The sequence below is a fragment of the Homo sapiens genome, chromosome 10, assembly GCF_000001405.40.
Source record: "Homo sapiens chromosome 10, GRCh38.p14 Primary Assembly".
Taxonomy (NCBI): Eukaryota; Metazoa; Chordata; class Mammalia; order Primates; family Hominidae; genus Homo; species Homo sapiens.
In genome coordinates this window covers 71,467,069-71,491,876 of record NC_000010.11, presented here as the reverse complement: position 1 = coordinate 71,491,876, position 24,808 = coordinate 71,467,069, and the positions used below count along the sequence as shown (strand labels likewise).

General features: G+C 50.4%; 1 protein-coding gene and 1 long non-coding RNA gene across 7 annotated transcripts in view, besides 2 other annotated features; one reads left to right on the top strand and one right to left on the bottom strand.

Moving 5' to 3' along the window:
• Positions 1–24,808, bottom strand: part of CDH23 (cadherin related 23) — a 419,028-nt gene that overhangs the window by 324,071 nt on the left and 70,149 nt on the right. The gene's annotated exons all lie outside the window — the stretch shown is intronic.
• Positions 4,477–4,977: an enhancer, noted in NCBI's record as "H3K4me1 hESC enhancer chr10:73246657-73247157 (GRCh37/hg19 assembly coordinates)". NCBI's record gives its function as "activates a minimal SCP1, AML or CMV promoter by ChIP-STARR-seq in primed H9 embryonic stem cells {active_cell/tissue: H9 hESC(primed)}" and the evidence as "EXISTENCE:reporter gene assay evidence [ECO:0000049][PMID:30033119]".
• Positions 4,978–5,478: an enhancer, noted in NCBI's record as "H3K4me1 hESC enhancer chr10:73246156-73246656 (GRCh37/hg19 assembly coordinates)". NCBI's record gives its function as "activates a minimal SCP1, AML or CMV promoter by ChIP-STARR-seq in primed H9 embryonic stem cells {active_cell/tissue: H9 hESC(primed)}" and the evidence as "EXISTENCE:reporter gene assay evidence [ECO:0000049][PMID:30033119]".
• On the top strand, positions 17,823–18,999 carry LOC105378356 (uncharacterized). Of its 2 annotated transcripts, XR_946055.3 has the most exons (3): positions 17,823–17,977; positions 18,261–18,465; positions 18,588–18,999. It is a non-coding gene; the product is annotated as an uncharacterized LOC105378356 (long non-coding RNA). The 2 variants fall into 2 exon arrangements; XR_007062184.1 differs by having other exon boundaries at positions 18,261–18,999.

Here is a 24,808-nt window from a genome sequence, read left to right as displayed (position 1 = left end):
CGCAGAACGTCAGAGCTGAACAGGGCCTTAGACCCACCAAGTGCCCTCCAATTGCTCAAAGAGGCAGGCGAGGGCTGCTGGACACCCCACAAACAGGAGCAGATTTGGGGCTAAACTCCTGCTCTCCTTTGTTGCTATGAAGACCTCTTTACCTCATCTTTTCCAATGTGTGTCTCCCCCATCTGCCAACTTTGCTGAAACCCTCATCCTCTGACAAACTGTACTGAATATCTCAACAACCTCAGAGGATTAAAGTGTGATACTCCTAGTTGTGTTACAAATGAAGGGCGTAGAGTATGGCCTCTGCTGAGGTCAAAAAGAGAAGAAATAGCTCACTCCTCCAAAAACACCTTGGCCAAACCAACACCCACTACCTTGGTTCAACAGAAGCTCTTACCTCGTAAACAGGTCTGGGGCTAAGGTCACTGTGGGCATTTTGTTGGATTTCGACAGTGTGCCCAAGGCTGTGCAAGTCTGTTTGCTTGCCTGCATGTCTCAGGGTCTCTCAAGGTGACTGATGTTTCCTGGGGTGTGCAGGAGGAGGGAGCTGATGAGTTAGCCACACTGGACTGACAGCAGCACTGGGGGAGAAGTCTAAGGGGGTTCAAGCAAGATGCAGCCACACTGCAAAGTAATCAAAGTACCCCAACCCCATCATGCCACCAGCCAGTGTGTGGAAGGAGGGTCTCAGGGCAGACCTCCACCAATCAATCTCAATCTGTGATCACATGACGCGAGGAGCTCCCAGCCTGACTTTAAAGCACCCAATCGATGCATTTGGTGCACGGCTACCTGGAATGGCACCCAGGTTGGTGGGGGAGCCAAGACTGGTTACAGCCCCTCTTTTTATTTTATTTTATTTTTTTTGCGATGGAGTCTCGCTCTGTTGTCCAGGCTGGAGTGCAGAGGTGTGATCTCAGCCCCTCTTAATACAGCAGTTGGGAGGGTGGGCTCTGCAGCTAGATTTGCTTGTGTTTCAATCCTGGATCTGCCACTTTTACAAGCTGAGTGACCTTGGACAAGTTACTTTGCCTCCCTGTGCCTCAGTTTCCTCATCTGTAAAATGGGAATAATAACAGTATCTACTACACAAGCTTGTTGTGAGAATTAATACATGTAAAGCTTTAAAAAGTGTCTAACAAACACATAAGTCCATGTTCAATAAGTGTCAGTCGTTACTATTATTTCCCAAGTCATTCATAAGATATCAGGGTGGCCTGTTCTGAGCCAGGCCCTGGCTGTCCCTAATGACCCTCATTCGTGTAGCCCTGGCTCAGCTATCAACTACTGTTCAGCTTTGGAAAGTTACTTGGCCTCTTTGGGCCTCAATTTCCTCCTATGTAATATGACGATCTCCCATTTTATCAACTAATCTACTCATTATTCACTCACCTACTCAGGCACTTGTTACTCAATTAACGTTTACGGAGGACCTACCATGTGGCTTCAGTATGTGTGCCAGACACAACCCTGGACAATGAGAATCAACAAAAGTCATAAGATAAATAGAAAAAAATCCTGCTCTCAAATAGGCCATAGTTTAAGTGGTCATGATTTCTGATTCTAATAACATGCAGTAGGTACCTGGATCAACTTGAAATTTGCAAACAACTGAAAATAGCAGATAAAATGTGTTTAAACGTATTAAATGAATAAATGAGCTGATAAAAAAATCAAGAATACTCAGGTCAAATACTAAATGAAGGAAGAAACTCAGAGAGGCTGGGTCATTTACAGAACCAGGTAAACCCAAGTTTTCATTATTACAGTCCCCGGGGCCCAGAAAAGAGGAGAAAAGGCCTAAGGCAGAATCTTGCCCCACCCAGCATAGGGGTCTAATAGGAAACACCCCCCTCAAGCAGGCACCCCAAAGAACCTCCCCCTTATTGTCAGAGTGACTAGAAATAAATTCATACCCCCACACAAGCCAGTCTTTAAAAAAAAGAAAGAAAAGAAAATGAACTCTCTGAAATCGTGGTGCTGAATAGAGAGGGGAACGTGACTCTTAAGGATTTGTAACCCTAATGGCCCACATCTGCATTTGCAGCCCAAATTCACACGGCCTGGGTATCTAAAATCCTTAAGTGAAGAATTTAATTTAAAGTAGTCCCAGACAAGTAGTGAGCTTAAGTGCTTAAGAAAAACAAATACAAATTCCCTCTGGAGGAACTCTGACCTTTATCTCAGGTCTCAAAGAATCACTCTCTCAACCAACCAAATGAGTAGCTCACAGTCAAAATTCACACACACACACACACACACACACACACACACACACACACCCCGAGGCACTGTGAATGAAAACCTAAAGAAAAAAATAGATGGCATAATCAGGCCCTCAAATAGTTCAGATATTACAATTATCAGGCATAGAATGTAAAACATGTTTACTGTGTTTCAATAATGGAAAGAGAGGCTTGCAAATACCAGTAAAGACCAAGGAAAATTTTTAAAGGGTCAAATAGAGCCCTTAGGAATCAAAATATGATCATTTGAATTTCAAACACATTAGCTTTGTAGAGGATTAGACATAGCTGGAAAGAGAATTAGTGAATTGAAAGGTAAAATTGAAGAAATTACCCAGAACGCCACACAGAGGGGTTAGAGATGGAAAATACAACAGAAAGGCTAAGAAGAATGGAGGATACAATAAATGATCTAACTTACATTTAACTGAGATTCCAGAAGCAAAGAATGGAGCAGATGCAATATTTGAAGAGATAATGGCTGAGAACGTTCCAGAATTAATCAAAAACTCCATAGATTAAAGAAGACAAATGAAATCCAGCAGGATAAATAAATAGAAATTCAAACCCAGATAGGTCATAGTAAAACTTCAGAATACCAAAGAAAAACAGAGTATTTTAAAGGCAACCAAAGAAGAAAAACAGACTACCTTCAAGGTACCAACATTTAAACTTACAGGTGATTTCTCAATGATCACAGTGGATCCCAAAGTCAATAGACTGAAAGTACTGAAAGGTACTTCAAAGTACTGAAAGTAAATGGCAACCTAGAATTCCATATTAAGCAAAAATATCTTTTAAGAACAAGAATGATACAGACATGTTCAGGCTATTTAATTAGTCAATGCCACTAGGGATAAGTAGGAAAAAAAGATGAAGAAAGAAGTTCAGGTGAACAATGTAGTGAGTTGCAGGGCACATATGTCCCGTTTAAGGCAGGGAGCTTTCTCAGTTCCCACTGATTGTTGCCAGGTGCAATCAACAAAAACTGGAAATTCATGTTTGCAAGAAACATTTCAATGTTTAAGTCTTAACAATCAGATGTTTAAAGAAACTCTGAGTGGGTCAAACAAATCAAGGCTGGGAACAGAATGCAGCAGATGGATCATGGGTATACTATCGGTTTGGAGGGATGAAATGATTGACAAGTCAGATGGACCAGGAAAAGGGGTGTTAAAGTGGCCAGGGCAGCACTAGAAAAGGTTCTGCTGCCAATCTCAGTGACTCAGGTCCAAGATTGGCAGGTAGCCCTCACTCCTGCGCAGAAAGATTCCCATCTTTTTCTCTAGGAGCTGTACCCAAATTTACGGCATCTTGTACTCAGGAGAAGGTGCCAGGCCAAAGTTCCTCTGTCTGGAAAACCTTTTACCTCCTTTCTCTTAGTAAATGCCTTTCCTCCACACTTCCACCCAGGCACCTCCTGACTTTCCCTCCATGCTGCCTGTGCTCACTGGCAGATTCAGCCACACAAAACAACTGTTGATGGTCCATCTCCCACTCTCCTGCAGGCCTGACTATGACCCAGGGCCTGGCCCCTTGAAGGGCACAGAGTTGGTACCTAGTGGACAATAGCTGAGGTTCCCAGAAAGGTACAGAGAGGGGCAGGGGCCAAGGCCTGAGGAGTGCAGATGTTGCCATATTATGTATGCAATGATGGTGTACGCACAGGGTGGATATATTATGCAAGGGCCTCTAGGCTGGATGCATAAGTGGTCATAAAGAGCATTAATAAGCAAAAAATGAGAAGGAAGTAGGCTGTTTTTATGCATGGGGTGGGAGAAGGAGAGAGGTGAGAATAGTAGCTGGCCTGAGGATGATGACTGGTTATCCTCCAAGGCTCACCAGGGTGTCTAGGCATGGGGTTCCCATGGTGGGCAAGACCACTTACAACCAGGGGGTGGAAACAAACTCTAAATAAATAACCACACCATGAATTATTTCATTACCATGGTGATAAGGGCCATACGGAGAAAAGTGAGCAGTTAGGCCCCACCCCACCAAATGATTTAACGATTCTTTTTAAACTTGTGTTTTTAATAATTATTTGATTCATTTAAATTTTATTATGCCATTAATTTACATAATTCAAAATTCAAAAGGAACACAGAGCCTCCTACCCATCCAGCCCTTTGCAAGAACCGCTGTTTGCAGTTTCTTATGTCTCTTTCTAGAGACACGCTTATGTCACGTCCATGTAAGCAAGTATGTATGTGCATGTACAGCTGACCCTTGAACAACACGGGTCTGAACGGCTTGGGCTAAGTTCTCAGGGAGTCAAAAGTTATATGAGGATTTCTGACTGTGTGGTGGTCAGCACCCCTAACCCCCACATTGCTCAAGGGTCATCTGTATACACATATACACACTCATATATATTTATATACACTTTATTTCTCTTTTTTACACACGTAGTAGTCTACTGTCTTGCACTTTGCTATATCTCTGACAGTAGATTTTAGAGATAAAGGAAATGACGTGTGAACTTGGACCTGGAGGATGAGTTGGAGGTGAGAGGTGAGAGAGCAGAGAAGGCCATTCCAGGCAGGGGAAACAGCTGGTTCTAGATGCACCTTGGGGAGGTGGGGGAGGCCAACAGGGGAAGGGGTACAGAGCATATGCCTGGCCCAGGGTTGTGTCCCTCCCAGTGGGCAGTCTGTGCCCAATGAGTGATTGGTGGGAAGGTACCAAGGCCTGGCTCTCTTGCTCAGCAGGGATCAGCCCCTCCCCAGGGCTCCCCAGAGGGTCGGCTGAGGCCTTTCCAGCAGCTGCATTGCAGCTCCACTTCTCCCTCTGCCCAGTCCTGCTCCCTCACTCCTGCACACCCCCGTAAGCCTCCTGCACAGCAATTTCCAGCTCAGTCTGTCTCTAGAGACCCTGGCCTAGGACAATGAAGAGTAGCCCAAGAGTACAGCGCTGGAGTTTGACACACCAGGTCAGGTCCAGCTGCGCCCCCTACTGACCATGCAACTGTGGCTATGGCCTGAGCCTCCGTTTCCCATCTAGAAAATGAGGACTATGATACCTGTCCTACTCTGCTGGAGGTCTGGTGTAAGATGATATTTGGGGAAACCCTGGTAGACAGTGATGTCACCTTATGCCACATTACTTGCAGCTGAGCCCCTGTCATGTGTCCCCTCGAGCCCCTGTCATGTGTCCCCTCATAATCCCCGCCTCCTGCCCCCACTCTAGGCTGGCCTGTGCTACAAAAGCACCAGGCTGCTCCCCTCCTCTCATCCCATCTTTCCCAGTTCAAGGCCCACCCCCTCCAGGAAGCCTTCCCTGATGGTCACACATTCATTCTTCTGCCTCCCTTTCCTCTGTAATCCCAGAGTGCCTAGAGTCTCCACCAAATAACCTGTTCATTCAGTAATTCACATCAAAACATCCCTAGATGCAGAGGAGACAGGGACTAGTACCTCTGGAAATAAGGACCCCAAAGAGGCAGACCCCAAAGATGAAATTGATTCAGAGTCTTGTGTTTAATAATGTCTTCGCAGCTTAATTCTCCCATTTATCCATTCAATAAGTTGTCACTGACATCTACATAATGACAGGACAGGCGTGGCTCCAGGAGCTTAGGGTCAAGTGGGTCTGACCTGAAAATCTACATAAACTCTGTCTTCTACTCCAAATATATTGATGCTTCTTTTAATATAAAATTTTTCTTTCTCCATCCATTTGCAAATAAAATTAGTCCCCCAGGAAGATAAGTCAGACTTCTCTGTGGCTTCTCAAGTGCCAGCTGGGCATGAGCATCTCAGACTGAGACGCCTGGACAACCTCCTGTTCAAATGTGGCTTTGTCATAGAATTGGAGCACCCTGAGGGCAGGATGACACCCATCTGGAGTAAGGGACTCCAGCATGACCACCCACAATGGCAGATGTGCCTACCTGGCAACCACGCCCATCCCACCCCACACTGCTTCTCTGCCCACACAGCCCCAATCTGTTCAGACAGCCAGTGGAGGTAGGACCATCTCCTGCCTCGGGGCATGAATCATTGCTGGGCTGGGGCAGTCAAACAGCCTCACCTGCCCTGGCTGACTCTGGCCAATGAGATGGAAGGGGAAGTTGGCTTGGGAGCAGGTGGGAATATCCTCTCAAACAAAGAGCTTTCAGCTCCTCCTCCCTTGCACCTGCCTGGAATGTCGCAGACATGGCAGCCTGAGCACAAAAGGTCAATGCAGGACGGATGGCCAAAGACAGAAAAAGCTGAGGTCTCTAATGGTGTCATTCATTCCCTGAGCCAACCAACTCTGCAACCACCAACTTTCAGACCACTTTTTATAAGAAAAACACACACCCAGCCAGGCGCAGTGGCTCACTCCTGTGATCCCAGCACTTTGGGAAGCCGAGGCAGGTGGATCACGAGGTCAGGAGATTGAGACCATGCTGGCTAACACGGTGAAACCCCGTCTCTACTAAAAATACAAAAATTAGCCGGGCATGGTGGCACATACCTGTAGTCCCAGCTACTCAGGAGGCTGAGGCAGGAGAATCACTTGAACCTGGGAGGCGGAGGTTGCCGTAAGCCGAGATCGCACCACTGCCCTCCAGCCTGGGTGACAGAGCAAGACTCCGTCCCACAAAAAAAAAAAAAAAAAAAGAAAAAAGAAACGAAAAGAAAGAAAAACACACACCCCTATTTGTGGACACCACTGCCAGCCAATTTTCTGTAACTTGCAGCCAATACACTCCTAAATGACACAGCCCTTTAGTGTGTACATGAACTTGTATGTAAGTTGCTCATTCAAGTCCCCATTTTACAGACATCAATGCATAGGAGAAAGTCAACACCTATTTGTAATAAAACCCCAGCAAACTAGGAATAGAAGGGAACATCCTTAACTCAACAGAATGTATATACCAAAAACCTACAGCAGGCATTGCACTTAATGAAAAAAACTTTAGACACAGTCCTTTTGAGATCAGAAACAAGATAGAGGATGCCCAGCATTGCTGATAATGTTTACAAATGACACAGTGGGTGGTCCAAAGGCACCCCCAAGGTCACCACCAGGAGATGGCAGAGCAGGGCCGGGCTCTGACCTCCTGACTCTCAGTCCTGCACGCGGCTGAAAGAGCTGTCAGAGCATTCCCTGAGTGCCACACAAACGCCGGGGCCCAGGGAGTGCCAGCCTCCCCAGCAGCCAGCCTGTCCTGTGCTGCCCAGCTCCTCTGAGTCTGGAAAAAGGTGATCCTGCGGCCCCTCTCTGGGTTGGAGGAACACCTCCTGTTAAGTTTCCTGCCGCTGCCTCCTCTTTCTCCTGCTCCCCTGGGAGATGGAGGAAGAGAGAGGACGGTACTTGGCAGGTGTCTTGCAAGCACTTTGGCCCTGTCTGCTTATCTGCGTCCCTACCACCTCGCCACGGCAAATTGCTTGTTGATAAATGAAGCTATTTAAGAGCAAATGATGCTGGCATTACAGTTATTAATGAGGACGACGTGGAGAGATATTTAAGAGCGGCTCGACTGTTCTCGCGTCCTCCCACCTGTGAGTAATGGGGCCACCATGCCTCAAGCCCTCACCCCCCACATCCAGATACAGGCCCTGGGACCACAGCTGCACGCTGTGGCCGTGGGAGGTGTGGAATGGTGGGAGGATCCCAGAACCATGATTTCCACAGGTGCGCTCGGGCTGGAGGACAAGACCCAGCACCTCCTTTGAAGGCTCCGCAGCAAGGATGTAAAAATGTGCATGTGAGGGGGCATGTGTGTGTGCACAGGCACATGTGTGTGGGGGGAGAGTGAACATGTGTGTGGGGGGAGAGTGAACACAGAAACACAGGAAATGTGTGTGAGCATGTACACCAAAACAGTGATTTTTGCATTACCTAGTCCCAGGACTGGCACTTAAACTCTCTATGCCTCAGTTCCCCACCTGAAAAATGGGTGTAGGATTGCATCCACCACACAGGCCACTAGGAGGATTAAATCAGCTGATGCACCTAAAAGGCTGAGCCCAGGGACCAGCCCTTAGGACGGCGAAGGCCCAGGAAAGGGTGAGGAGCTTCTCCCTCATCCCATGACTGCAGTGATTAAGACGCACTTGCACGTGGGAGCTAGTGGGGGAAAGTGCCAGAGTGGAAGAAGAGAGATGGTGCTCGCCTGGGTTCTTGAGGGAGGCTGGGAACAGGGCAGAGAGACTGGCAAAGTGAGGAGCAAGATGAGGGGCGGGGTTGAGACCCAGCTGGGAATCACCAGAATAGCCACACTGGTTGTTAAAATGTCCAACACCATCTGCAGATTGATAAAGAGCTGCTGTCCTAGGCACTCCCACCCCGCTGCCTGGGCCTGCTCCCCAAAAAGTTCAACCCTCCCCACCAGCCTCTTGTGGGCTTGGGTGTCCCATGCTGGATAGGTAAGTGAGCATGTTGAACGTCACCCCTGGAAGGGTGAGAGTGAATGCACAGTTATGCTGGGGTGGGTCACCAAGTCCTAAGGACAGCCTGGCATCCAGGGAGCTTCCCAGAAGGCAAAGCCCCCAGCCCCAGCCTTACTGGCACCCAGGCCCCAGCTGAGTTGTGATTTAATGTTAGACCCCTGCCTCCATCCGCCAGGACGGGCCACTGAACAGCATTTTTGTATCTTCTGCAAAACTGCAGCTGAAGATGCTGTTGACTGCACCTCTCAATGTCCTTTGTACCAAGACCCACATGATCAATTCCTGCTGGAGATTTACTTCCACAGAGAAAAACTGCTCTACAGATTAATGGGCACGCTTTCTGTTGCCTGGAAACACTTCAGGATGGCTCCCTCTTGGATTTAACTGTCAGAAAACTTAGGGCCAAATGCAATGCCCCAAATGTTGTAATCCGCTCAACTCGGGCACCTGACACCACCTAATCCCTCTGCTTCCTCCGGATGAGCCACAATATTTTATCCTCCTGTGTCTCCATTCGCACTCGGCTTTTCCTGCTAAGTGCCCCCAGGTCTTTTTGGAGGCAAGAGATCTGAAACAAACCAGCCCAGCAGCATTGATGATACCCCTAACCCCTCCACCTGCCCAGCAGTCCAGTGCCCCCACAGGTGGTCCTGAGCACTGGCACACCCCCACCAATGGGGTGGAGGAGGCAGCCTCTCCCATTCCTATGGGGCCTGTCCCCCCAACCTCAGGTGTCCACTATGGCCTAGAGAACAGGAGGCTTCCCAAGGGTCAAGAAACTTCTGGCATCAACTTTAAAGCAGTCCTATGCTAAGAAGAAGAAGATAGAGAGGTATCTTTGTTGGGGCAGGGGTCCAGGTAGGTGGGGAGGGGTAGACCTGCAAGGGATTCTGGGACCTGAGGTCCTTTATGACAGGGAACTCTACTTTGGAAGTTCAATACTAGAGGGAATAAAGAAATGCAAAGGGAGAAAGGAGAGAAGGGGAGGGAAAGAGACAGAGGGAGAAAAGGAGGGAGGAAGAAAGTGACGAAGGGAGCAAGGAAGAAAGAGAGGGAAGGCAGAAAGGAGGAAGGAAGGTGGGGGAAGGCTTTGGCAGTGGGCCTCATACCTGGAAGCCCGCTATGGTCATGGGGATGGCGAATCACAGAATGGGGACCGCCACCAGGGACTTGGCCAGGCCCTCATTGCGAAGGGCCTCAGTCAGGCTCCTGATGCTCTGGACGGGGAGGGTGGGAAGAGGACTCACACTCACGCCAGCCCCGACTCCCCCCACCCTTTGCAGCCCAGGCTCTCCTGGCCACTCAGCAGGAAGCTGACCTAAAGCAGATGCCACACAAGCCCGCTGCTGTGGGCTGGCAGGGGCTCAGTCACCCATGTAGGCAAGAGGACCCCACACAGTGCGAGACTCAGGGCTGCCCCACAGGACCCCACACGCAGCCACGTCTCAAGGGTTAGCTCTGCGAGCTGAAGGAGAGGAAGCCCCCAGATGTTGGGAGCTTGGCTCAGGATGGAATTGTGGAGGAGAAACTGATCCAAGAAGTCCTTTGCTCCCATTTGCCACGTCCAGTAATTTCCCAGCTTCCAGCACTTAAAAGCTTTCCTACCTGGACCTATTTGTCCACCATTTAGACAGAGGCTGGTACTGACCACACTATCTGCTGAATGACACCCAAAAGGGGAGGGATGTGGAAGGTGAGCCTAGCCTAAGGCACCCAGGGCCCCAGCCACTCTTATCTCACGTGCACCCTGAGAAGAGGCGCCATTTAGACACTGCCTCAAACCCTGTTCTCTTTGGTGGGGCCATGTGGGGTCTCCTGCCTTTCCCCCCACCATCACACACCTCTCCTTTCCCCATTTCCTGACTCCCAAGGGTGGCTGTGAGCTGGCAGCAGACTGCCTGTTCCAGGGAAGGCCCAGTTAATGCCTTCACCCCTTCGCTCATCCTGGCTGCTCTGCACCCTCTGGAGGCAGGGAACTCCCTCCCTTTTAATGAATCTGTTTAGCAGGGTGCCGGTGACTGTGCTGGGGCCCTGCAGACACCCAGGATAAGCCAGTGCACCCATGAGCAGAGCAAAGTTCCAGCCCTCCAGCCATGAAAATGGGGCTGCCACCCAGGCCACAGCTGGGCAACGGGAAATGGGGCTCCCCAGGGATCTCAAAGTCCCCTTTCCCAACCTCAACCCCACCCCAAGTTTCCCAGGCTGTCAGGCTGCAGATTTTCACAAAGCCATCTCAACACATCCACTTGGATACCCAAAGCCAGCAAGTCTAAAATGGAACTTCCATTTTCCTCCGAAGGGGTCCGTGGAAGACATCACTACCTGTCCAGCTCCAAAAACCAGACACTGGGAGCCATCCTAGATTCTTCCATCTCCCTCATATCATTCCTTTGGCAAGTGCTATCGAGTCCACCCCCAAATATAACCCATCTCCATCATGTCCTTCTTCTTGTGTGAGCCGAGACCACACAGCCGCCCCCATCCAGTCTCCCTACACTCATCCTGGCTCCTCCAGCCTTCTCTGCACTCAGTATCCTGACCCCATCTGTTTCCTCACCAGCCCCAGCAGTGGCTCCTGGCTCACAGGTCGTGGACGCCATCCCTGATGTGTGCAGCAGGTCCTGCTCCATCTTGCCTTCATACCTTTGTTCCTCTGCCCTCCTCACTGGAAACACTCCTCCATCCTCACATCCAAGTTGTCCCTCAAGTCTCAGCTCCAATGCAGCAGCCACCTCAATGCCTCTCCAACAGCCCAGGCTCCAGCAGGCCTTCAGAGCAGCCTGTGCTGGGCCTCACTTTCGAGATGGGTTGGCTGATGTTAGTCTAGCCCCCGTCCGACCCGGACAGCAGTGTCTGCATCCTGCTCACCACTGTCCTCCCAGAGTACAGCCTGGCTTAAGTGCTTGTTGAATAAACTGCTGCAGAAACGATAGGGCCAGACTGGGGTAAGGACAGAACGGGAATGTGGGCAGACGCGCTGCAGACTGAACACCACAGGTCCTGCCCGGCCACCCACTCCCTGAGAATCTCGAGCAACCCCTCATTTTCCAGTCCCCTGGCACTTCAGGGGGGCCATGCACTAGGTCTGGCCAATGGGCCACAGGAGGAAATGACCTGTGTCACCTCCCAGCTAAGGTGTGGGGGAGCAGAGGTGCTTCTCTCCACCCCTCCTCCCTGTGCCACGGTGGATTCTAGAGGCAACATGTTGAGACAGCAGCAGAGTCATGGGACTGAAGCAGGTGGATCGCTGGATTACCACGTGGCAGGCAGGTATCCAGAGAGTCACCCAATTTGCATTTTGTGTGAGCCTTGACTGTGTGAAGCCCCTGTGATGATACTAACAGGAACATCATCTCAGCCATGTCTCTGACCTATGGCTCCCCGAGCCCCTAAATCCAGTCCCCTTATGGATGCACACACACATCCCAGCCTCTCCGCTGCTCCCACAGGAGTGTATGCTGCTGGCATCCTCCCCTTCCCTTCCCCACCCCAGCATCACCCCAGCTTGGTTTCCCTGCCCCTGATCCTCACCGGGCCCCTGCTCTCTAACTTCCTGGCAGGGGCAGACCCTCACCCAAGTCATGACCCAATAACCTGGGTAAGATGTGAGGCTTCCCAGGAGCACGTTACCTTTTGAAGAATCAAAAGTATAAAAACCCAAAGGAATGGCTCCCTAATGGTGGGCTTTATGGCATTAGCAGGAGCAGGAAGCCTTCCTGGCTCAAGAGAGCCTGTTGTGTCTCTCCAAATCCACTCTGCCCCTTGCAAGGCTCCTGCAGATGGACAGGCTCACCTTGGCCGCAGTCCCTTCCCCTCTCACTCCTGCTTTCCTGCGGGATTCAGTTCACCCGCCCCCAAATCCTTAGACAAAAACCTCCTGAAGGTGTCCACACTGCGGGTTCCCTGAGGAACCCTGAGACAAGAGAGAAGAGGTAAGAAATGAGCATGAGGAAACCCCAAAATGTTAGCTCTGCCTTCGCTCCCCCTTCACATGAGCAGCCTAGAGATCAGTCTGGAAGAAATCAGTCTGGATATGAGTTTGGGAGACAGCCAAACCTGGGTTTGAATCCTGCCTCCTTTAATTACCTGCTGTGTGAGCCCGGTCAGGGCACTTAACCTCTCTGAGCCTCATCTTACATAATGGGGACAATTATTTAGTTTCTCAAGGCTGTTCTGAGGACTCAGTGAAGAACCATACGTGGAAGTCCCCTCCTTGAAGTGGACACTCGGTAAATGGCCACTCCCTTCCTCTCTCAACCCAAATGCATAAAGTCTCCATGTGACCCATGAACAGACATAAAAAATAACAGGACAAATAAACCATGCCTGCTCAGGCTTTCCATTCTTATAAAAAAGAAGAAGAAAAGACCTTGTTTTTGGCCAAGTCATTTGTTAAGGAGGGGCTCTAAGAAAATATGAAAATGTTTTCATTTATATATTTCAGGCTTTGGAGACGGGCTCTTAGATTCCTCCACAGCCACTGGAGTTACTAATGTACCATTGAATTTGGGGTGACCCTTAGCCAAGGAGAGCAGCACCAGAGACCAGAGATAGATGGGAGGGGGCAGGGGAGGCATGGGATCCAGACCCCTGCCCCAACAGCATCTAATGAACTACCTGGGGCCATGTTTGCCTGGACCAGCACCAGATCCTGGAGATGTAAAATGAACCAGATGCAGCAGAAATTGCAAATGAACCTCAGTGACAAGCTCTATCATGCAGGGCTGCTCAGGATGCTCCAGGAGAACCGAGGGGGACAACTCCCTGTGACAGGGGAAGGGGCCATGGCAGTGCAGGAAGATAGGACCTTGAAGGATGAGAAGGCATCATCAGGAGGCTGAGGAAGGGGAGGGCACTAGGCAGAGGGAACTGCAGGTGCAAAGGCCCTGAGGTGTAAGGTTGCATGATGCATCAATAGAACTGTGAATCTCCAGGCACAGCAGGAGGGAGGGGGTCAACCATACAGTGGTAAGAGATGACGGTGAGAAGCTGAGAGCACTCGGCAGAGTATGTATGCCAGGCTAAGAAGCTTTTATTCTATCCTGTTGGCAAAAGAGAGCTATGAAAGGACTTTAAAATAGAAGGATAACCTGGCTTCTTTTGTACTTTTAGAAGATTCTTTTGGCAGACATGTAGAAGACAGATTTGTGTGGACAGACACTGAAAGCAAGGAGACTAGTTGGAAGGTTATTATGAAACCTAGGCCATAAATAGCAAATCACTTTTATCTTATGTGCCAATTCTCATAGATTGGTAGGGGCTGCCTGGGGTACTGTGTGGAGAAGAGAAAAAGTACCATGATAGAGTAGTGATGTCTGGCCCGGGCACGTGATAGGAGAAATGTGGCATCAGTGCTGGGGATTTACCAGTCCTGCCTAAGCCGGGATAATAAGAGCCCAGCAGAGAGAGAAAGGGACAGGCAGTGTGAGCGACATTTCACAAGTAGAAACAGCAAGATCTAGTGACTTAGTGAATTGGTTTAAGAACAAGAAAGTTGGCATACAAAGCTCTGGCTTAGGCAACGAACTGAATGTTGGATGAGAGGGAGAAGAAAGACTTGGTGTCTGAGGTGCTTGCAGATGTCTCGAGTAAGATGCAGGGCATGCTCGTTCAGTGCTCTCAGGATACAGGATGGGCTGGAGGAGGTTTTTGGAGCTGGACCCTGCACATGGCAGCCGAAGCCATGAGAGTGGTGAGGTCCAGAAGAAAGGATTGTAGAGGGAGCAGGGAAGGGGCTGAAGACAGAGGCCTGAGGAAGATTCAAAGAGGAGCCTGGGGCTGGGCGCGGTGGCTCACGCCTATAATCCTAACACTTTGGGAGGCCGAGGCAGGTGGATCACCTGAGGTCAGGAGTTTGAGACCAGCCTGGCCAACATGGTGAAATCCCATCTCTACCAAAAATACAAAAATTAGCCGGGCATGGTGGCAGGTGCCTGTAATCCCATCTGCTCGGGAAGCTGAGGCAGGAGAATCGCTTGAACCTGGGAGGCGGAGGTTGCAGTAAGCAGAGATCGCGCCAATGCACTCCAGCCTGGGTGATAGAGCAAGACTCCATTTCAAAAAAACAAAAACAAAAACAAAGGGAGGCATTCACCTGGCTTAGCCCTCAGACACACAACATCTGCAGGAACTGCCCAGGAGCGTCCCTGGTTTCTCTACCCTGCTGGGACCTCCCAAGTGAGCCTTGGATGAAGGCCAAGGAGGAAGATGGAGAAGAGTTAGGGGTCGGTCATGTGGGATGCTGCACAGATCTCAAGAAGCAAAGATTGAGGAGTGGCTCCCTCTGGGATCTCATTCAAGGTCAAGGGTAGAACAGCCCTAACATTTCCAGTGCTCCTCTCAGCCAAGGCACTGTTCCCAGATTCTCTCAGGAATGTTCTCACTCTGGAAGAGCCATGAGAGGAGGCGTGTCCGGCTGGGAGCAGGAGGGAGCAGGTCAAGCCAGCACGCCAAAGGGGGTGCTTTGAAGTTCCTGGCAATGTCCAGGGTGAGATCATACATGTGTTTGGTTTATCATACATGTGTTTTCTTTAACTCGTATATCCAGGTTCTACGATACACCCTTCTGTCTATGTGATATATTGCACACTTGAAATCAAAAGTACAAATAGGAAGTTGAAAGTAGGGGCAGACAAACCCTCTCTTAAGCTGCTGGTGCTCCCATCCTCTGTCCTCTTGGCCAAGTCAGTGGTTTTCCATTTGTACTTGAAGTGTCTGTTCCAGCCCCAAATCTTTCCAGAGAATCCTCAGGAGCAAATTGGAGCTGGGGACACATCTTGCCCCTTTCTTGGCTTCCTACCCAGCCATCTGCCATGTGACCTTGAGCATGTCACTTCCCTTCTCCGGGCCCTGGGTTCCTTCTCAATACAGTGAGAAGCCTGGGCTAGAGATACTGGAAGATCCTTTCAGACACAAGTCTCAGATTCTCCCAAATCGCCGACTTGCTATTACCAGGTTCAAGATGAGGAGATAACAAAGACACAGTCCTCCTCTGCATGAAGGGGTGGGGACGGGGGCATGTGCATGAAAGATGCAGCCATGAACTGCAGCATCCTGTACTTTTCCTGGGAGGGGGAAGGAAAACTCCCCTTGCATTGTTGATGCCCTATTTAAATAGTCCCTCCCCACCTGCGTGCTCTGTGTCTCTGTACAGTTATCCTCAGCTCCCATCAAACCAATCACCAAATGTCTGGGAGCTGCCAGGGAGGTGGGGGCTCCACATGAACGACCAGAGGACAAAGGACCTCAGAAACCATCTCAGCCACCCCCTTGCTTTGAAGAGTGGAAACTGAGGCCCAGGGAGGGCAGCCAACCTGCCTAGGCCACATGGCAGATGGGAAATGGAGCCAGAGATAACCCCAGGCCCCGGCTCCTGCAGGGTGACATTCTTCCCACCTGCCTGCAGGCTTCTGACCCCAGGCATGGAACTGGGGCCTGCTCCCTGCCTTCCAGCCTCCGCCCCTCAGGGCCTGCATTCCAGCTATTGGCTGCAATCCCCAACCCTGTCACTGGCCAGATCCTCCCTACCTTTTCCTTCATACCCCTGCCTCCCAGCCTGCCATCCCTGCTCAGGCAAAGCCAGCAGGGGACGGGGACCCCTCGGGTGACAGATGGGCCTCACACTGTTTTCAATTGTCACGCGGGCATACAGGATGACAGACCTTGGGAACCGGGCATTAATACCGAAGATTTATAGTCAAATCTGTCACGCCTGAAGGCTCTTCCCCCAAAGTTGGCTCAGCCTGAAGGTCGCTTTTCAGAGGTGATAAGTGCAAAAAAGCTGTCCTCAACCGCCCTCCTAGACCCTCCCCTCTCGGGAGCCAAGAGCTCAGGCTGCACACAGGAAACAGAAAGGGAAGCAGGAACAGGAACTCCAAACCAGAGAGTCTAAGACCATCCCCCAAGTGCTTTCTCTCTTCCTACCCCGCCCTCCCCACTGTGATGCTCACACTTGGGAGGTCCCAGCAGGCTGGAGAGGTCAGGGACGCTCCTGGGCAGCTCCTGCGGATGTCGTGTGTCTGAGGGCTAAGCCAGGTGAATGCCTCCCTGTGCTGGTGGTGAGAAGAGAGCCACACTGGCCCAGAAAAGCAGCCCTGCACTAAGGTTACACAGCTCTGACCAGCAGCTACTCTCAGTCCCCATCTGAGAACTGGAAGGCACCCTGCAGGGCCTGGAGGGGCAAATAGTCACCATTCCCGTCTTCCTAGTGAGAGGCAGAAGCCAGCATCCATCCACTCACCAAATTCTTACTTGAAGTCATCAAGGGTCTTGAATGAAAGAGATGAGAGCAGTCTTAGACATTGACCAAGCCAATGGCCCCATTTTACAGATGGGGAAACTAAGGCTCAGAAAGAAGTAAGAATCCAGGTTTATTCATTCATTCAACAGTTACTTGGCATGCGCTGGGGGCTCGGCCTGCTAGCCGGGGCTCTTGACCTGCTGTCTGCTCTGAGCACAACCCCTGTCTGTGCTGAGCACACAGAGGAGCGCAAGGACAAGTAAGTTCTCTTAAGAAGGAAAGACTACCAGAAGATGCATGTGGACCTGTGAAACACAATGGGAAAGTTAAAAGCAACGATCGTGGCAATGCACTGGCTCATCTCACCCACCCCGTGCCCCTAATGAGCAATATGTTATTTTCTCCATTTTACCAGAGAGGAAACTGAGGCACAGGTCTAACAGCTGCTAGTTGCCAGAATGCAAGGCCCACCTTCTGAGCACCGTATTCCACTGTCTCCCAGGAGAAGGCAACATGGCAAACGCTGTTTGCTGCCAAATGTTTGACCAGTGAGAGCTCTACTAAGTGGGGAAAGGTCTCTGTGGGCTAAGGTGGTCTCTGAAGGCTTCCTGAAGGAGGCGACAGAGGCATTAGAACTGACAGAGCCAAAGCCTCAGCAGGGATGGTACCCTAATAAAAAGGAAGCCTCCCAGACTGAACCTCCTGTTTCAAACTTACTCCTGGAGCTGATTGGCACATACTCTGACCCCTTCCTTAGGGATTTTCCCTTTGGCCCCACCCTGAGGGCTCCCTGGAGGTGAAGGCCACTGGACCCTCTGCAGAACAAGCTGGCCCTGGTGGCATGTGGGAACAGGCTGTACTGGCAGCTGGTGCCTCTGGCATTGTGGAGAGGAGGTGGGGGAGGGAGCGGGCACCAACATCCTGGACTCTGGAGCCTGGCATGAGAGCAGTGCCATTCCTAGGTTATAGATGAGCTAAATTAGCTGTGACGCTCATTAGCGGCAGCTCCTAATTAGTGAAAATTAATATTGGCTTTGATAAAGACGTCGGCGCCAGCTCTCCAAGGCAGAGGCATTATCATCCTTGTCAGCTGGGCTAACGACTGGGTAAGTGGAGGAGCCAGGGGGCCTGGGAGTGGGCAACAGGTCCCTGGGGAGGGAGCTTGATGCTCACAGGGGCCAGCTGTGGGCACCCCTGCCCACTGCTCACCTGACCCTCTAGTAGCCATACTGCAAGGGCCTGGCCCCACGTCTAGAGCTGCAGCTACAATCATCATCCATAATATTGTTGGGTTCTTCTGTGCCCCAGGCAGTGTAGCAAATGTTTTCACATGTATTTGATGATCCCAAGAATGTTGGAAGTAAGTACTTTTTTATCTCCATTTTACAGACGAGAAAAATTGAGGCTCAGAGAGGTTGAGGAACTTGCCCTGGGACCTCTGGATACCAGGATTTGGGCCCAGGCAGCCTGACTCAAGAGCCATGATCCTGACTTTGGTATTATCCTGCCCTTCCCTTCAACCTCACCCCCAAAAGGGGCACTCTGGATGCCAGCCCCATCGTATACCAGCACGTAACATCATATCCGGCACACAGTAGGTGATCAGCAAATACTTATGAATGAACACACAGGTGCACAGAGGGCCCTTGGTATTCCTCCATGGCATTTATATTGACTTTTTATGTCTTCCTTCTCCATCCACTTGATGCTGTGGAGAACCTGTACTTCCATTTACAGCCCCTGAGTAAGTCCAGGACAAAGTCTCCAGGCTCTGTATTCCAGAACACCGCCTCTCCAGTAGGGAAGACTCCGGGAGCATCCTGCCTTCCCAGGCGGGAATGGAGGCCAGGAGGCTTTGCCCAGACCTTGACTGTGCTATTGCCAAGTGACCAGCTCTGGGGCCTGGCTCCTCTGCCACTTGGGAGAGGACTCGGCAGATGGGCTTCCCTTCACCCCAGTCCCTGCTCCCCAGCCAGAGACCCTGAGTTCCAGCCCAGGGTAATGAGGGGAAGTAACAGATACACCTACTTTTAATCCAAATAAAGGAAAAATGTTTGCCACCATGGAGTTTATAAAAATAACAATGCATTATTCGGGTATTAATAACAATAAAGATGTCAAACTGTCAGATAAGAAGTTAATCTCATTCCGAGCACAATTAAAGATGCTATTTTCCCACCACCTGGGACCACACTGGAGTCTACCACTCAGCAGGCTTAATAGATAAAGGGCCATGCACAGAGCACAGGAGTCCTTGGCACTGCCAACCTGCCCTCCCACCACTTGCTGCCACCTCCAGACCCCTCCCTTGGCAACCCCAGCACAAGGGCTCAGGCCTCGCTTCGCTGTGGAGTATCTGGCAGGACCTTCAAGGCCAAAGGGCGAGGGCAGAGCAAGTTGAAGCCTGGCCCATGTGCCTGCCATTCACCCAGGCATTTCCTGGACAAGTGAATGCTGGGCCAGCACTGTACAAGCAGAGGGGACAGTCCCTGGCAGCTGGGCTGAGTGAGGGTCCAACCAGAAAGAAGGAGACACTGTTAGAGCTGCGAAGAGAGGGGATTTAACGTGGGGAATCGGTCACACGGGTGATAGAGGAGCCAAGAGGCCAAACAGGGCGGTGTGGTGACCCAGACAGAGGCCCAGCAGAAAGCCACACTGCCAGCCCTTTGCGGGAGGGACAAGGGAGGAGGTGGTGTTAACAGGAGCCAAGAGACACAAACTTTGGAGCTACCACCCGAGGAGAGAAGGAAAGAAACACCCTGGCTCCTCCCTTCCTCCCACCATCCAGTCTCCTGCCAGGGCCTCCTGTTGGCTAAACCCAGGCAGAAGCCAGCTGATCTGGGAGCCTGAGGAAGGCAGCCCATGGGGTCAGCTCCCCGCCACTCGGAGCAGGGCTGGAGGTGGCCAAGAATGGAGCTGAGGACAAACAAGCTCGGGACTGGCCCAGGTCCAGCCCTGAAACTGAATCACCTATCATCTGTCGAGCACCAGATCCATTCCAGGCACACCTGTAGATGTGGGGGACAAAAATACAAATTAGAAGTCACATTGACTCTCAAAGCAATTACCACCTATTGGGGGAAATAAGCATATAAACAGATGGTTTCCACGTAGGATGTGTGTACATGCTAAGCTGTATTACAGGCCATGAGTACAGAGGAAAGATCCCAAGGATGGAATCCCAGCAAAGCTTCCGGGAAGAGAGACGGCTTGAGATGCATGAAGGAAAAGAAAAAGGAAAGGAAACCTAGGGCAGGTGTACCAGGCCGCAGGAATGGCAGGAACAAGGCCCTGGGGTCAGAAACAACACGGCGTGGGATGGTTAGAGAGGGAGGGTTTGGGGAAAAGTTCTCACGGGGACACGTCAATGGGGGTGGCGCTGGCCCTCCTGGTGCAGCTTCCAGGGCTCAGCTGGGTCCACGCAACTGGAGTCCAGGAAGGTGGCTGGGCTGGAGACTGGGTATCACTGGCTTGGGGGTGGTCATAAAGCAAATATGAGGGAAATCGCACCACAGAGAGCACATAAAGGGGGCAGAGGGTGCGTGCCTGGGAAGCATCACTGCTGAGTGGGAGACGGAGACAGAGAAGGCACAATCACAGTGGTGGGAGAGAAGCAGGGGTCCCTGAGGAACACAGTTCCAGGTCGTGAGTGACCTGCAGGGTCAAATCCAGGGAAAGGTCCCAGGCATATACCATCTGCAACACATTTGCTGAACTCGGCAGAGTGAGAGCCACTGGCTGGCCTTAGTGGGTACCACGTCAGTGTTGTGGTGGGAGCAAGAGCCGGGCTGCGCGCAGATGGCAGTGCAGTAAGCCAGGGACTGCGGTCAAGAGTGGGCGAGTGCATGAGCTTGGCTGAAAGACCCGCAAAATTAAACTTCTGCTCTTCAAAAGACACTGCCAAGAGAATGAAAAGACAAGCCACAGACTGGGAGAAAATATTTGCAAATCATATATCTGCTAAAGGACTCAGATATATGAGTCCTTTATCTGTATATAAGGAACCCTCAAAACTCAATTATCAGAACATGAATAACTCATTTTCTAAACATGGTCAAAGATTTGAATAGCCACTTCACCAAAGTAGATATATGGATGGCAAATAAATTTGTACATGAAAAGATGCTCAACATCATTAATCATTAGGAAAATGCAAATAAAATGACAATGAGATACTATCACATAAGTATTAGAATGGCTAAAATAAAAAATAAGGGCCAGGCACAGTGGCTCATGCCTGTAATCCCAGCACTTTGAGAGGCCAAGGCGGGAGGATCACTTCAGCCCAGGAGTTAGACCAGCCCAGACAACACAGCAAGACCCCACCCATCTCTACAAAACATAAAAAATTAGCTGGGTGTAGTGGCACATGCCTGTAGTCCCAGCTACTCAGGAGGCTGATATGGAAGGACTGCTAGAGCCTAGGATGCTGAGGCTGAAGTGGGCCGTGATGGTGCTACTGCACTCCAGCCTGGGTGATAGAGCAAGACAAAAAAAAAAAAGTAAAATTAAAAATCAAATACGTCCCATAGTGGACATTGCTAGGGGGTAGGAGGAAGGGAGAATGAGAAGTTATTATCTAATGGGTACAGAATTTCTGTTTGGAACAAGTAAGTTGGTTCTGGAAACAGGCAGTGGTGATGGTTGCACAACACTGTGAATGTAATTAATGCCACTGAACTGTACACATAGAAATGGTTAAAATGGTAAATTTTACATTATGTATATTTTACCACAATAAAAAGAAAAGCCTCTCATGCCACATGCTGGCAAGAGGAGCAGCTGGGACCCCCGCCCACTGCCAGTGGGAAGGTGAAAGGGTACAACCACTTTGAAAACCAGCGTGTCAGTTCCTTAAAAAGTTAAACTTATGCTGGGTGCAGCTGTGTCAGCCTGTAATTCCTGCTACTCAGGAGGCTGAGGTGGGAGGATCACATGAGCCCAGGAATTGGAGACCAGCCTGGGCAACATAGCACAAATTTTTTTTTATTTTTAAAAAGGAAATGAAAACATTAAACCTATACATATGATTCAGCAATCTCATTCCTAAAAATTTTCCCAAGAGAAATAAAAACATGTGTCCACACAAAGTACACAAATGGGCCAGGCATGGTGGCTCACACCTGTAATCCCTGCACTTTGTGAGGCCAAGGCGGGCAGACCACCTGAGGTCAAGAGTTTGAGACCAGCCTCGCCAACATGTGGAAACCCCATCTCTACTAAAAATACAAAAATTAGCTGGGCATGCAGCACACGCCTGTACTCCAAGTTACTTGGGAGGCTGAGGTAGGAGAATCTCTTGAACCCAGGAGGTACAGGTTGCAGCGAGCTGAGATTGTGCCACTGCACTCCAGCCTGGGCAACACAGCAAGACCCTGTCTCAAAAAAAACAAGGGGGGGACACAAATGTTCACGAAAGCTTTATTTGGAATAGCCAAAAACTGGAAATAACCCAAATGTCTATCAATGAGTGAAAAGAGAAATTGTGATATAGCTTTTACAATGGAATATAACTCAACGATAAAAAGGAATAAACTGTGGTTATACACAATATAAAAGGACTCCAAAATAATTACGCTAAGTGGAAGAAGACAGACAAAAAGAGTACATACAGTATTATTCCATGTACGTAAAGTTCTGGAGAATGCAAACTAACATATAGTGACAGGGAGCAGCTCCAAGGTTGCCTGGGGAAGGAGGAGGAGTGGAAAGGAAGGGCATGAAGGGGCATGAGGAAACCTGGGGGTGATGGATATGTTCGCTATCTTAATGGTGGTGATGGTTTCAAGGGCGTGTGCCTATGTTGAAACTTATCCATTATACACTTTAAGTGGTGCAGTCTATCATATGTCAATTACACTTCAATAACACTATAGAATAAAGATTGCTTTTCTTTAAAGGAGCTTGGCTGAAAAAGGAACGAAAGTGGTAGAGGGAGATACAGGGTCCAGGAGGGTTGTGTGTTAGGACGCAAGAGGCATGAGCCTGCTTTGGGGCTCTTGGAGGGAAAGGGAGCTACTGAGCCTCCCTCAGGCCCACAGAGAAGGAGCCTGGCAGAAAGACAGCTCCTGAGAGCCAGCCTGAGGGCAGTCACATGCTGAAGGCTGGGAGGGAGGAGGAGGGTGTCCTGGAGCAGGTGAGGAACAGAGGCGTGCGTGGAGTAAGGCACCTGCCTCACCCCTGCCCTGTCTCCTGCCGGGCCCCGGCAGAGGGGTACAGGGACTATGCAGGGGAGCGTGTTTACTAGGAACAAGTGTTCGAGTTAAGAGGGCCACAAATCACCATAAACAAAGGGAGGGTATAGGAATCGTGAGTTCCCAAAAGCTGAGGTGCCAGACACCATTTCCAGTGACAGATCAGGGAGGACTTTGTGGAAGGGCACCTAGGAGGGAAAAGGTGGCAGAAGCCAGAGCTGAACAGGGCAGGGCAAGTGCAGCCTGGCCATGCTGTCTGGAGCTGTACAACAGGATGGCCCTTAGAAAGTGTGGGAGATGATAGCAATCTTTTTAGGGGACCAAGCATCCACACAGGCTGGAAGGATCATGCATCATGGATGCTAGTACAGATGGCCTGGCCTGGTAAGCCAAGGAGCCTGGGATTGATGTGTGGGCAGTAGGAGCTACTGAAGGTTTCTGAGCTGAGGAGTGACACCAAGAGAGCAATGCTTCAAAGACCCTGCATTTATCATGTCCAAGCACCTGCCATGGCTCACCATTACCCAGGCTCAAGTCCAAGTGTTAAGGATTTGGCTTAAGGGCCCCACAGCGGGACCCTGTCTTTTCATACTCTTTCCTGCCATCAAGTCTCAAGTTTGGCAGCTCCAGGGCTTGGCAGAGCCAGGAGCTTTACTGGCAGAGCTAGAGGAACTGGGGACAGAGGAGGACAGGGGGCCAGGTCACAGGTGGACAGCAAGGAGCGTGTGGGCTGGGGCAGAGCTCAGAGCTTCCATCAGGGTTTGTTTCGCCCGCAATTCCTCTCTAAGAGGGAAGAAATTAAGTGTCTGCCCACTTTTCCCCATGAAGGAAGGCTCAGGAAGCATCTGCTAGGGTAGGCCAGAGCTCCCATAAAGCAAAATTGAGGAGGCCAGGGTGGGAGAAGTGGGGAGCAGAGGCACTGGCCGGGAGTCATGGGACCTGGGTTCTCATTCTAGCTTTGCCTTAACTTGAAGTGTGACCTCAGTTTGCTCCTCTGCGCAGTGGGGATAATAACATGAGCCGATACACATAATGCTGTTTAGGTGCCAGGCACTAGTCTAAGCTTTTTACACGCACTAAGTTTCTGCACATCAGCCCTGTATAGTAGATATGATCATCCTCCACACTTCATGGACAAGGAAGCCTTGGCACAGAGAGGTTCAGAACCTTGTCTAAAGGCACACAGGTGGTGGCGGCAGAGTCAGATTTGAACCCCCCAGTCAGCTCCTGTGCTCTTCATCTCTGCTCCTAACCACTATGGCGCACTGCCTCCCACCCAACCTCACAGGCTGGTGGTGCTGGGGGTGCGTTAAAGGATTTGTCAGAGGTGTGCATCAGTAGTTCTCAAAGTGGGTTCCCCAGACCAGCAGCATCACCATCGCCTGGAAGCTTCTTAGAAATACCAGTTCTCAGGCCTCGCCTCAGACCTGCTCAACCAGAAACTCTGAGGATCGGGCCCAGCCATCTGTTTCAGCAAGCCTTCCAGAGGATTCTCATGCACACGGAAGCCTGAGAACCACTGGCATACATTATCACCTACAAAATGTTCTTGTTCAAGTTCACACGTTTATGTCTGTACAGTTAATACACTGAACTGAGGTTCAGGTCTTAGGACCCAGCAGCCCAGGTCCTGGGTGGTCCTTCCCTCTTCCCTCTGGGGTCTCTGAAGGGGCTCGCGGAGCCATTCTGCCTTGTGCCCAGCCCCTCCTTGCAGCTCTTGCTAGCATCCTCTGCGGAGAAACA